The sequence below is a fragment of the Homo sapiens genome, chromosome 15 (assembly GCF_000001405.40).
Source record: "Homo sapiens chromosome 15, GRCh38.p14 Primary Assembly".
In the NCBI taxonomy this organism is placed as follows: Eukaryota; Metazoa; Chordata; class Mammalia; order Primates; family Hominidae; genus Homo; species Homo sapiens.
The window spans coordinates 97,087,812-97,102,808 of NC_000015.10; the positions used below are offsets into that span (position 1 = coordinate 97,087,812).

The following is a 14,997-nucleotide window of genomic DNA, read 5'->3' on the forward strand; positions in this document are numbered from 1 at the left end:
TTATGGCAGATATATCAAGTAAAGTTACTTTAGTTAGTAGCTTACTTTAATTTAATACTCAGTCCATTTCAGGTTGAATATTTAAGTACAGCTCCTGATTATGTTGGCTTGCTAAGCTATATAATTAAAAAGTGGAGCTGAAATATTCTGATGCTTTAAGCTGTTATATATAGGCAAGGAAAGAAACCAGCTTGTCAGATAGTTGACTGTCTTCAGGGGAGAGGGGAAAGAATTGGTTTTACTCCCTGGAACAGCTCAGAATGACAGCCCCATAGCAATGTGAGGTTGCAAAATACATGTAACATTTATAATGTATAGAGATGAGAGGAAGAGAGCAAGACAGAGTAAATTATCCCTCTTGCATTTATGTAAGTTGATTGCAAATAAATTAATATGTATTTTCAAGCACATTGTATTACTGCAATAGAAGTTACAAGTAACATGGACAAGATTTTATGAAATTTATTTAAAAGCCATTTGTCTGAGATACAGATGTAGACAATGAAGGCATAGGGGAAGACAACCCTCATTATACAGGAGAAAACATGGTGCTGATAAACAGTGGCACTACAACTGAGTAGCAGGTGGAAAGAAATTAAAACTGAAGTACCATTTTTAATTGTTAATGTAATACATTCTGAATAAGCAAAAGCCTGCTTGCCTGCCTCCCTCTTGTTTTTCTTCCTCTTCTTCTTTCCTCTTCCTCCTCCTCCTTCCTCCTCCTCCTCCTTCCTCCTCCTCCTCCTTCATCCTCCTCCTCTTTCCTCCTCCTCCTCCTTCCTCCTCCTCCTCTTTCCTCCTCCTCCTTCCTCCTCCTTCCTCCTCCTCCTTCCTCCTCCTCCTCCTTCCTCCTCCTCCTCCTTCCTCCTCCTCTTCCTCCTTCCTCTTCCTCCTCCTCCTTCCTCCTCCTCTTCCTCCTTCCTCCTCCTCCTCCTTCTTCTTCTCCCTCTTCTTCTCCCTCCTCCTTCTCCTTCCTTTTTTGTTTCTTTGTTTCTTCTCTCTCTCTCTCTCTCCCCCTCACTGCTTCCCTCCCTCCCTCAATCTAGAAGACTAAAAGAATGATCAGACTCCTCAATTTGGGCACTTATGTGTGACGTGGTGGAAAAAGAAACTAAACTGATCAGTACTTTACAGTTCATGACCATGAGAATCTGTTTACATTTATATTTTTGCTTTATGATCACAATGGTAATTAAACCTGTTTACCCAGGATCTCATATCAGCTTGCTGAGAATATGCTGCAGAGACTTCTTTTAGTTTTAAAAATGAGCAGTGCTATAGCAAAGAAAGGAATTATTGACGCGAGCATTTCTTCAAGTACCTCACGTTTCTTGCCTGCTGTTTATCAATTTTACTAATTATTGAGCACCCACTAGGTGGCTAGCACAGTTTTTTTTTTTTTTTTTTTTTGAAATAAGGTCTCACTATGTTTCCCAGACTGAACTCCAATTCTTTGGCTCAAGGGATCCTCCTGTTTCAGCCTCCAGAGTAGCTGGGACTACAGGGATATGCCACCAGGCCTGCATGCCTGGCTGTGGATTTTTATTGTTATTTTTAAATGCATTTGGATAGCTACCTCTCTCTATTGATTGACTGCCCTTCAGTGTTAAGAAGATTGCTGTTTTAGAGTGGTTTAGAAATTCTCCTTTTAATTTTTTTCCAAACTGATCAAATAAAATTTATTCATTGTCGTGCTACTAATGGCACAGATTTAGCACTTAATGTTGAGCTTTTGACATTTTTAAGCTTATAAAATCAAGCTGGCTTAAAACAGGTTCAATTCAAACAAACTAACTTCTGGAGAAAAATAATTCTACCAATCTGATGGTTCACCAATCAGACAAATCTCGGTGTTTGATATGACGTGCCCGTCGAGATACCGGGCAGTCCACCCGACATCATCTTCAGATTGTTGTTTCACTTCCTAAAGTTACAAAAGAGTCATAAGCTTTTTACCGTTTTTTCTTAAAAAAGAAATAGGCTTACAGAAATTTGTAGCAATAGTACAGTGCATCTGCAATGACTTCTAACCAATTACCTAGAGTGAGGCCAGACTTTAGAGGTCAAGGGGACGGTCATTCACAAGACAGCCCTCACTCCTGGCACCAGTGGCAAGTTGACAGGGTCCCCAGACCAACTGCATTTCTGACCATCTGGCCTCAAATCTGGGGGTTCCCACTAGATGCTGAGGCTCAATAATCTGCTGCAGTGACTCACCGAACTCAGGGGGTGCTATACTTATGACTAGAGTTTTATTAGGTTAAAAGGATACAAATCAGAACCACCCAAAGGGAGAGACATGTTGGGAAAATGCTGCAGTTCCATAGTTTCTGAGGACATATCTTCTCGACACCATCGATGTGGGAAAGGACACAGACTGTTGTCAACTAGGGAAACTCACCCATGCTTTGGTGTCTATAGATTTTACTGGGGCTTCAGTGAGTAGGCACAATTGATTGAATTATTGGCCATATGACTTACTATCCAGCCACCTTCCCTTCTCAAAGTTTGGGCAAATATCAAGAGGCTCAAAGTCCCCTCTCTCTGATCACATACTTTTTCCTTTTGGCATGGCCGCATATCATCTTAAATAATTTCATTAGCATCAACTATTAAATGTGGTCCATGGGGCCCATCATGAATACAAAAGAGAGACAGTACTATCACTCAGGAAATTCCAAGGGCTTAGAATCTACCTCCCAGAAACTGAGGTCAAAGACCAAACAAATGCTTTATTGTACAGACTCTGTCATTGTTTTGTGAAACCATGTAAGTTGCAGACTCCTAAGTATTTCCATATGTATCTCTTAAAAGAATAAGTATATTCTAATGGCAGAACACAGCATTTACAATACAGTTATCAAACTAAGCAAATTTCATACACCTATGATAATAGTCTGTAACACATAGGTCAAATTCAATCTTCTCTAGATGTCTCAATCTTTATTTTTCCTTTCAACTCAGGCTCCAATATAGAACTACACATTTCATTTAGTTGTTAATATATCATTATACTTTCTTTAAACAGAAACTGTTCTAGTTTTATTCTTTCTCTCATGACATTGACAGTATAGACCAGGTGCTTTATAAAAATGTCCCCCAATTTGAGGTTGTTTGATTATTTCCTGATGATTCGATTCAGATCTACATAAATATACTATTTTTTTCTTTTTTAAATTCTCTCTCTCTCTCTCTCTTTTTGTTTTTGTAGGAACAGGGTCTCCCTGTGTTGCCCAGGCTGGTCTCTAAACTCCTAGACTCAAGAGATCCTCCCACTTCAGCCTCCCAAACTGTTGGAATTACAGGTATGAACCACCATGCCTGGCAGTATGCTATTCTTTAACAAACTTTCACCCAATATTTTTAGTATCCATTGATGACTCTTGCCTACATTAACTATGACTGTGGTGTTTGCAAAGTGGTTATGCTCTAATTCTAGTATTCCTTCTATATTATTAGGTTGGTGCAAAAGTTATTGCGGTTTTTGCCAATTACTTTTAATGGCAAAAACCACAATTACTTTTGCATCAACCTAATACTTAGTATTCTACTATAGAAAAGAGCTTTCCCTTCTTTCATTTTTATTTGCTGTTTGTTTAGCATTTAGTTTCAGTGTCATAGACTCTTTAAGTGCAATGTGTTATTACAATCATGTTATATTTTCACATACAAATTTATGTTTTCAGCAATAATCACAAGCAACTGTACATACGATGATGTTCTTTGAGGAATGCTGTTTTGTATCTCTCACAAGTAAGAAAGCTGTGATTTTTAAATCAGCTGAAATAGGAATCCTTCAGCTCTTAACTTTCTAAGCCCACTTATTGAAATATGGATGTTGCAATAAACAAGGTTTATTTCAGACAAACAAATGAACGAAGCAAAGTTAACAACAAAAATCCTCCATAGTTGCGACTGTAACCATCCAGAAAATGAGTTTTTTGTCTAAATAATCCCAAAGCCACTAACTCAGTTTGTACTCCAAAACATATTCTCTACTGAAAAAGGAACTGAGCACATACTTCAAGGCCAATTGGTTTAAAATCAAACCAGTCTTGTTCAGAATTGTACTACATAGTAGGCAATGATCTCAGTGAGAGGTGTGGACGAGCATGGACCTCCTGGAACCCACCACGTGCAATGAGGTAGGCAGCAGGGTGTAGGAGGCTCTGTGCTGGATGTGGAGTTGGTCACCACCTTCTGACATACCAAGTCCTGTCTACTGCTCACTGCATGGTTGTCAACACCTGGAACTCCACCATCATCTTTTCTGCCCTGACACCTCATCTAGACTCCTCTGCCCAGGTTAGCAGCATGCACCTTGGACATTTCCATCTTCTGCAGATATGGAAGTGTAATTGATTAAGCATAAATCCTTCCTCGCCCTGAAAGAACACTCACAGAGCAGTTTCAGAAAAGAGGCTAGAAATAAACATAAAGATACTGGGCACCTATTGGGAAAGAAGTGATGCATTGGCAGCAGTGAGGGGACTAAGTCTCCAAAGACAAGGTAGTCTGCCTCCAAGCCTGGTCCCTCCACTAACCTAGCCCTAATATAGGTGCTTTCTAGAGACAGTGTCTTACCCCACAGTAGTGGTATTCAGAGGGGACAGGCACATGGTGAGCCATTCAGAAAGATATTTATTCAGGCATCTCTACAATTGAGCACATAGCTAGTTTGGAACTCCTGGTTTTCATACCCTGCTTTATTTTGTCCATTGTTTTCCTCCCCTTCTAATACACTATATGATTTACACGTCTATAATGTTCAACTTTTCCTATCTTCCCAGATAACTCTCCCCATCGGGCAGGCTGTAAGCTCCAAGAAGGCAGGTGTTTCTACCGGTTTTATTCGTTGACACATGCTAAGTCATTTGTACATAGCTGAAGCTTAATAATATCTGTAAAATGGGCAAATGTCTACATAGCAGATAGAGCATTCCTCCAAAATTCCTGCAAATGTGTAACTAAAGACTTAAGTTTACAACTTATACACAATGGGATTATATGCTTATGTCATTTAGAAAAGGGACAGCTGGATACATAACGAGTCTGCTCATTAACATCAATTTAATATTCTATGTAGACATTTCCTGCTGTTCTTGGCTATGTCAAAAAACATTCCTCAGCCTTTGTATATTTTTTACTGTATTCATATCTAAGATTCTGAACTGAATTCTTTCTCAGTGTAAGCTTATGTTTGGAGATAGGTCCATGCTTCAGGGCATCTTTCAGTACTAGATGAGAAAATGCTACTTCCACAGATGACAAACTTACTCCCAGGGAGTGTAATCATTGGGGAACCTCACTTTTTCAGAGTCCATGAGTGTTGTGATTGGTTACAGAATGCAGAATGAAACCAGGGTAGTCTGGAGCTAGGAACACATGCCTTTTAAAATTGTAATTGCCTGCTCATGTTTCAGGTCCCATGAAGATTCCCAGCTCTTACTGGAGAGGAGCTCTATTCATTTTTTTTTTTTTTTAGATGGAGTCTTACTCTGTTGCCGAGGCTGGAGTGCAATGGCATGATCTCGGCTCACTGCAATCTCCACCTCCCAGGTTCAAGCCATTCCTCTGCCTCAGCCTCCCAAGTAGCTGGGACTACAGGTGCGCACTACCATGCCTGGCTGATTTTTTTGTATTTTAGTAGAGACGGGGTTTCACCATGTTGGTCAGGATGGTCTTGACCTCCTGCCCTCATGATCCACCTGCCTCGGCCTCCCAAAGTGCTGGGATTACAGCACTCTATTCATTCTTATTGACAAGACGCTAGCACATGCTCCACAATCAGGTGTCCATTTCCAGCCCAGGTGTCTTTCAGGGAGTGGAAATCTTTGCTTTGGCCTATTTGGATGATATTTGCAATCTGGAACAGATAATTGCTAATGACACTTTAAAGAGTAAACCATAGTTCTTAGTTCTTCTGCAATATTAGTCCTTATGTAATATGACAAAACCACCAATGAGCCAGAAATTCTATGCAATTAGAGAAGGAGGAAATGAGTGGTGTGAGCAATTCTATGACATAGTTTAAGACACTTTTCAGAAGTTCGAGTTTTGTTATTGACACTGGCTAAGGAACTTAACAGATTCTACATGAACACTAGAATTATCTTAGAACTTGCACAAGTATTCTTAACATGGCTTCCATGGACCCCTAGAAGGTCTACTTCTATATGCGTGTGATAAATTTTCTGTGGAGAGAGTCCATAGATTTCACTTAATTTTTAAAGAAATTCATGATTCCTATCTAAAAAAAGGGCAGGGGGCTGGGTTTAATGTCATTAGATTTTTGTCTGATGTCCTTGTTTTACAAATGAGAAAGGAGAGACACAATGGTGCAAACTGACTATTTTAAGAAGACAATTCAGATGTGCTGAGATAAAGCTCAGGGAAGAGCCTCAATCTGTTAATCCATTGTCCTCCTCTATAAAATGTGTGTAATCACATTTGCCTGGCGCACAAGGTTATTTGGAGATACAAGGAAGTATGTGGAATATTCTTTATGGTTCAGTTATCTTTATTGTCATCATGCATAGTATTTTGTAGATAACTTCTTAAAAGCTTGGTAAGGTTTGGCTGTGTCCCCACCCAAACCTCATCTTGAATTCTAGTTCCCATAATCCCCACATGTGGTGGGAGGGACCCTGTGGGAGGTAACTGAGTCATGGGGGCATTTTCCCTCATGCTATTCTTGTCATACTAAGTTCTCACAAGATTTGATGATTTTATAAGGGGCTTCCTCTTTTGCTCAGCTCTCATTCTCTCTCCTGCCGCCCTGTGAAGTGGGGCCTTCTGCCATGATTGTAAGTTTTCTGAGTTCTTATTAGCCATGCAGAACCGTGAGTCAATTAAACCTCTTTCCTTTATAAATTATCAAGTCTTGGGCAGTTCTTCATAGCAGTGTGAGAATGGACTAATACAAAGTTCCTATTCAGAAGCATTCCATAACTGGACTTTGGGGTTCTGAATAATTATTCTGAGAAGAGTGGACATTCTGGATTGAAGAGGCAGAGTGGCAGGAAGCCGAGACCCCTCTTTGAAGGGTATGGCAGTGGTCCAGGCTGGAGACAATGATGGCTGATGAAGATGCAGGGGCGGGGGGGAAGTTGCTAAGACTGATCACTGAGAGTGTTGGGACAGTGGAAGTAATCAAGAATATTTCTTAGGTTTCCAATATGAGTGACAGCATGGAAGATGATGCCATAATTGGGAATACAGGCTGTCTGAAAGGAGGCCACGAGCTTGCTTTTGGACATATTGAGGCAGGTGGAAATATAGGAAATATATGGAGGGGAGGACCAGTGTTAAGAGGTTCAGAGTTCAAAAGCCAGTGAACCAGGGGCTCTGATGTCCAAGGGCGGAAGCAGGTGGATGTCCTGGCTCCAGCAAAGAGAGAGAATTCACCCTTCCTCCACTTTCTTATTATATTTGGGCCCTCAACAAATTGAATGATGCCCACCCACATAGATGAGGGACTCAAATTCTAATCTTTTCTGGAAACATTCTCACAGACACGTCTAGAAATAGTGTTGTACTAGCTATCTGGGGCATCCCTTAACCAAGGAAAGTTGGTGTATACAATTGTGATGGTTAATATTGAGTGTCAATTTGATTGGATTGAAGGATGCAAAATATTGCTCCTGGGTGTGTCTGTGAGGGTGTTGCTAAAGGAGATTAACATTTGAGTCAGTGGGCTGGAAGAGGCAGACACACCCTCAATCTGGATGGGCACCATCTAATCAGCTGCCAAAACAGCTAGAATAAAGCAGGCAGAAGAAACTGGAAAGAGCAGACTTGCTGAGTCTGCTGGCCTTCATCTTTCTCTGATGCTGGATGCTTCCTGCCCTCAAACATCAGACTCCAAGTTCTTCAGCTTTTAGACTCTTGGACTTACACCAATGTTTTGCCAGGGGCTCTCAGGCCCTTGGCCATAGACTGAAGGCTGCACTGTCAGCTTCCCTACTTTTGAGGTTTTGGGACTCAGATTGGCTTCCTTGCTCCTGAACCCGCAGACGGCCTATTGTGGGACTTTACCTTGTTATCATATGAGTCGATACTCCTAATAAATTGCCATTCATATATACCTATATCCTATTATTTCTGTTCCTTTAGAGAGCCCTGACCAATACAAAATGAACCATCACAATAGGTATATTTGGCACACAGTTTATGACTAACAAGGCAAAACTGTTCATTTGTAGGTGGTAGCTAAAATTAGGTATTTTCTAGAACACAGTGATTTTTTATTAGAGTGCCATCTCCTTGAAAGCTGGGACTCTCAAGGCCTCTTTCTTTATTGCTCTGTCTCCAATATATAGATAAGTGCCTGCCTTATGATAGGCCTGAAGTAATTATCAAATGAATGAACTAAATATATGTTCAATTATTGTTCATCTCAACAGTGGCTACCTACGTATTATTTTTTAATATTATAAACTGGATTGCATTTGCTTCAGAATTAAATAAACAGCTTTAAGTTGAGGTCTGTGAACGCCTGACTCTTCTTTGACTTAAGAGCAATGGACCCTTTACACCTATGCTTCTAGTCTCCTGGGTTCTTCCTTTGCTGTTCCCAGCACATGAGTCCCCCTCATTCCTTTATGAAAACTAGCTCCTTTAAACTAAGGGGTATTTGCTAGCCTGAGAGTAAGATGGTTTCATTTTCACAGACTACAGAAACTTACTGAAGGGAACAAATCACTGATAGTAAAGTTTCAGGCATTGAAAAGCTATAACCAGTATAAAGCATGGACTAGAATTAAAGGCTTTTGAATCTAACTCACATTGTCATGAGAGGCCGTTTAACCTTCTTGTGTCATATTGCCTTCATCTGCAAGTATTATGAATCATAGTGGTTTTGCTTGTCTTTTCAGTAGGATGTTGCCAAATAAAATATTGAAGTAGAAATCATGTCTCTTCTAGCTCTCATTTTATTCTCAGAACCTTGTAAGATAGCTCTCTGTGTGAGGCAGCCCCTTCATTAGTATGTCTATGACACCTGTTGAAGGATTTCAGGTGAAAGATCAAATAAAGGTAGTTCTAATTCATTGTACAATATCATTCCTACAATTATATGCTTCACAAAATCAGTTTACCGAATTCAGTTTGCTATGAGACATATTTAGAACAAGCTCACTGTTATTGCTTCTCTGAGATGATCGAAGGATAGCTTTATAAAATGTTCACTATGAAGGAGTAAGGGAGAATTGGCATAAACAAGGGTTTTGCTGGGAAACCGTTTGATTTTCACCTGGTTTTAGAATCAATGACAGTGATATTGATTTCCATTTTTAATAAATTACATTTTCAAAAAACATATACAATGTAAGAGGCACTATTCAAAGCCACAGGAATTTATTTTAAAAAGTAATAATACTTGCTGTATCAATTCAGGAGTGTGTATGGTGTGTGTGTGTATGGTGTGCATATGTGTGTATGTGTGTGTTTGGAGGCAGAAAGGTGATCAACAGATAAATACAGTATTGTTGTAAACATACTGTTGTTGAAGTGGACACAAAACACTGTAAAAATGCAGGGAAGTAGTGATCAATTTCCAGATGGATCCAAGCTCTATAGCTAATTCTGAAGCTGCCATGGCCTTTGTGCTAATAATCAGTATGTCAAAAGAGAGCTGCGTAGACCTGCCCACTCATGGCGAGACCATCATTTACCTCGCCTCTTGCCTTCATTGACAGAGGTACAGAGGAATCCAGAAAACTCACCTATGGTGTGAGAAACAGGGTAAAGTGGTCCTTCATCTGTGTGCTGTTTACACAGGTGGTTTCAAACTTCAATACATGCGGGTCTGTAGGTTCTCTATTCTTCAGTTAAAAGGGAAAAAAAGATTCTATTATGGACTAAATGTTTGCATCCCCTCCAAAATCACATGTTAAGACATTAACCCCGTGTCATGATATTAGGAGGTGGGGTCTTTAAGAGTTTATTAGTCCAAAAAACCCGAAAGCAAATGCAACAATAGCAAAGATAAATGGATGGGACTTAATTAAGCTAAAAAGAGCCTGCACAGCAAAAGAAATAATCAACAGAGTAAAGAGACAACCCACAGGGTGGGAAAAAGTCTTCACAATCTATACATCCAACAAAGGACTAATACCCAGAATCTACAAGGAAATCAACTCAAATAAATCAGCAAGAAAAAAACAATCCCATCAAAAAGTGGGCTAAGGACATGAATTGACAATTCACAAAAGAAGATATACAAAATGGACAACAAGCATATGAAAAAATGCTCAGTATCACTAATTATCAGGGAAATACAAATCAAAACCATAGTGCGATACCGCCTCACTCCTGGAAGAATGGCCATAATCAAAAAATAAAAAAAAATAGATGTTGGCATGGATGCGGTGAAAAGGGAACACTTTTACACTGTTGGTGGGAATGTAAACTAGTACAACCACTATGGAAAACAGTGTGGAGATTCCATAAAGAAATAAAAGTAGATATACCATTTGGTCCAGCAATCCCACTATTAGGTATCTACCCAGAGGAAAATAAGTCATTTTACAAAAAAGATACTTGCATACGCACGCTTTTAGTAGCACAATTTGCAATTGCAAAAATATAGAACCAGCCCAAATGCCCATCAATCAACGAGAGGATAAAGAAAATGTGACATATATATATACACACACCATGACATATATATGTATATATACACACACACACCATGACATATGTCACATGAAAATGTGACATATATGTATATATATATATACACACACACACACCATGGAATACTACTCAACTCCAAAAAAGGAATAAAATCATGGTATTCACAGCAACCTGGATGGAACTGGAGACTATTAAGTGAAGTAACTCAGGAATGGAAAACCAAGCATTATATGTTCTCACTCATATGTGGGAGCTAAGCTATGAGGACACAAAGGCATAAGAACGAGACATTGGACTTTGGGAGCTCAAGGAAAAGGGTAGGGGGTGGTGAGGGATAAAAGACTACACAGTGGGTACAGTGTACACTGCTCTGGTGATGGGTGCACCCAAATCTCAGAAATCACCACTGAAGAACTTAGTCATGTAACCAAACACCACCTGTTCCCCCAAACCTATTGAAATAAAAAATAAAAATAAAAAAAATGATGAGGGTGGGGCTTCCATGAATGGGATTAATGTCCTTATAAGAAGAGACATGAAAGAACTTGCTCTGTCTCTCTGCTTTCCCCTATGTGAGGATACAATGAGAAGACAGCCATCTGCCAACCAGGAAGGAGTCTCTCGCCAGATCCAAGCCTGTGGGCACTTTGATCTTGAACCTCCTAGCCTCCAGAACTGTGAGAAATAAATGTTTATTGTTCAAGCCACTCATTCTGTGGCAATTTGTTATAGCAGCCTGAGCTAACTAAGACAGATTCCTAGAGTTTTGTGTGTGCATAAGATTTCTCCCCTCAGCCTCCATAGCACCATGGACAGGGGTGTCTCCTGAACACACCTATCTGTTTTTTTTTTTGGTTTTTTTTTTTTTTTTTTTTTTTTTGCAATTCCCTAAAAGCATCCTACACCTTCACACCATTATCTTCCTTGACTCACTCAGGGATAATTTACTATTCTGGCTTGTGGTAATTTTCTTTTCTGACTCCATCTTCACGCTTTTAAGGAACAGGTATCTTCTCTTTCACACACACCTGTTTGGTTTGGGGGTAGAATAGATGTGTTTCTCTCTCTGCCTCACTCCTTCCCTCCCACTTCTGTTAACACACCTCATATGAGTCTCATGTCATCATACTATATCATCCAGTACCTTTCTTTTTGCAGTTATCTGTGGGACCTGAGTCCCATGGTTTTCCATTGAGATTTTAGCTCCTGGCTCATGGTCTTTCTCTCCAGCATCATTGTCATAGTTCTTGATAATTTCATTATCCACATAGGTGATTCTTATCTTAGCTATTAATGCCCTTGACCTCCTCTCCCCCAGAAAGTCTTATTCTCCAATCCACTTCAGCCACTCCATGTCCAGAAGTTAGGTCAAGCCATTATCAATACAATACGTCACCCATTACCTCAACTTCAAACAGGCCCCTCTCTGACCAGCACTTCTTGTTCTCCAGCTTGCCCCTAGTGCCCCAAATCCAACAATCCTCAATCCCTGCTGGAAAATTAAATCCACTGACCTACTTCCTTTTCACTCTCCTTCATCTCCTCATGCTCTCACTTCCCAGACCACTTACCTTCAGCTCCATGGGGGCATCATTATAATCACGCTCTTTGATTATTAAACTGTTCTTCTCTTCCCTTGCTTCAGCTTGCTAACCTGCAAAACCCCTACCTTAGTTAAGCCACTATTCCTTTTAAGTTAACCAACTCATTTTATTAGTTGGAAAACATATTTCAACCAAGCTGTCAGTGTGATATAACTTTATGCTAACTATTCTACTGTATTTCCTCTCTTCATTTATTCTCTCAGTCTGAGACCAGTGCTTCTTGAATTTTAGCACACATTGGGTCACCTGGGGATCTTCTTGAAATGCAGTTCCTGGTTCAGTATATCTAGGAGAGGGGACTGAAATTCTGCATTATGAAGGAGCCCCAAAGTGCTGCTACTGTTGCTGCTCCATGGACCATACATTAAACAGCAAGATCCTAGGCTACTCTTTCATGCTTCTCTTTCCTGGAACCTCTATTTCCTCCCTCATTCACATTTAATATGTGGCTTTGTCCTTCTTCTGAAAAATTAGAAGCAACCCAGAGCCTCCAGATACAATCTCTATTAACTTTACTATACCTGTGCCCACATAAGTCTGCTTTATCTCTTGAACCCGGGGATGGTCTGGTGCCTATACTTGTGCACTAAGTTCTATTACCTCTCACCAATCAAGCCCACAGCTCCAGGTTTCTCCTTTTCTGTACTATCAATTTTTTTTTCAATTCTGCTGGTTCATTCTCATTAAGATTCAAACATGCTGTTATGTCTTTCATTTTTGAAAAAAAATAGTAATTATTATATTGATAATAAAGGCTCATAATCTGTCTCTCTGGAATCAATTTTCCCCTATAGCTAGGAACCATGGTTCTGCTCTCCATTACAGAAGATTGTGTTGGAAGAGTTGTCTACAGTCACTGTTCCCCAAGTTATCCTGTTCTCTCCTAAGAAATTCACTCCAATGGCTTTGCCCTCCCCTTAGCCTGCACCTAACAGAACTGCTCTTTTTGAGGTCACCAATGACCCTCTATGTTGCCAAGTCCAATATAAAATTCTCAGACCTTATCCTAATTAACCTAAAAGCAACATTGGACACGGCAGACAACTGCTTTTCCTTAAAATAGTTGCTTCACTTGGCATCCAAATCATCACACTCACCTATTTGTTTGCTTGTTTGGTTTTTAGTCTTCAGTAGGAAATTCTTCTGTCTCCTTCACTGATTGTCTCTTAACTCCCTGACTTCTTATGACTTGGATTCTTTTTAGACTAACTGAACCTCCACTTTTTCTTATCTATACTCATTCTTCATAGAGTATAGACTTTATGGAGACCATAGACTATATATTCTCTCACTCTAATTTAAAAATTTTAATCATGGGTCTAATATGCAAATTATTGTTCAAACTGAAACACTTTTGAGAGTGAAAGTGGGCCTTAAAATAATGAGAAGTAATTTTTGAAATATTTATTTATAGAAATACATAAATTGGTTTTAATATACAGATGAATTTATAAAATAGTCCTATTCAAAAGATTTTCAAAAATAAATTTTTTTCTTAAAAAGTGAACATAACAAATTCATATGCATATAACTACTGATTAACAGAACATTAAATAATATAAGCAAAATGATTATTCTTATTATTAATTTGCTTTAATGAGTTTCTTAGTTGCATCTGTGTCTAATGCCATGCCATTGGTAACTTTTACAAAGAATATATTTTGTAATATGATCTCATTATTCTCCATATTTTATTAAAACAAAATAAAATACTAATTTTATTATTTAAATAAAAAATAATAATTTTATTATTTAAATAAAAAATAATAATTTTATTATTTAAATAAAAAATAATAATTTTATTATTTAAGAAAATTTCCAGTAGAGATCTTTAATGTTGCACCCCATGACTAACATGTTTAATATTATCTCTATTCTTATAACCCTAAATTCAAGTTTCATATTAAAATGCACAAGTAAATATTTCAAGTCAAATATAGGCCATTATATAATAGGTCTACATAATAGGTCATTATAATGATGACACTTCTAATGATATATGTAAAGGATCTGGGTCTTTGAGAATGTTGTTGAACAACTGTATTTAGTAATCTTGGAAGTACTCTACTTCAGATTATTCTTATTGTTAAACCAGTCAAGTACTTTTTTCTGTTAATTGCATAGAAAGGATTTTCATGGATAAAGTGTTTGCATTTTTTTTTACATGTAATAGTTTTCAAAATATTCAGTTACATCATGGTGTTCTACTATGTTGGCTCTGCTTTTCAGAATTTTCTGTTTCATATCATACCTCCTATCTTACTCATCCTGCTTCAACCAGCTCTTTTCATCTAAATTAGACGTTGTCTTAGCCCATATGTGATGCTATGACAAAATAGCAAAGACTGAGTAATTTATAAACAATAGAAATTTATTTCTCACCATTTTGGAGGCTATGAAGTCCAAGATCATGGTGCCAGAAGATTCCATGTCTTGTTTCCTGTCTTTAGGGGACATTCTTGGGGTGTCCTCACATCATGGAAAGGTGGAAAAGACAAATACTGTGTTCTCACATGGCAGAAGAAATATAAGGGAAAAAAGAGATTCATGTTTATCTTCACATGGTAGAAGTGATGGAAGTTCCAGGTAGCTCTTTGAAGCCTGTTCCATAATCCCATTAATCAGGGTAGAGCCTTTATGATGTAATCCATTCCCAAATGCCTTTCTACCACCTCTTAATACCATCACCCTGGGCTTTAAGTTCCAACATATGAATTTTGCAGAGACACATGCACTCAAATGAGAACAGATATTT

At 38.7% G+C, this 14,997-nt stretch overlaps 1 long non-coding RNA gene across 8 annotated transcripts in view; it reads right to left on the reverse strand.

The window, feature by feature from the left end:
• Positions 1 to 14,881, reverse strand: part of LOC105371004 (uncharacterized) — a 31,628-nt gene extending 16,747 nt beyond the window's left edge. For 3 of the 8 annotated variants that reach the window (XR_932680.2, XR_932678.2, XR_932677.2), the window contains exons 1-3: positions 14,625 to 14,881; positions 9,726 to 9,824; positions 8,787 to 9,001 (exon numbers count right to left, since the gene is read on the reverse strand). This is a non-coding gene — a long non-coding RNA (uncharacterized LOC105371004). Of the gene's footprint in view, positions 1 to 8,786; positions 9,002 to 9,725; positions 9,825 to 12,209; positions 12,293 to 12,763; positions 12,915 to 14,624 lie in introns of those variants that run through there. The other 5 variants (XR_932683.2, XR_001751692.2, XR_001751689.2 and 2 more) reach the window with 4 other exon arrangements.
• Positions 14,882 to 14,997: the final 116 nt, after the last annotated feature.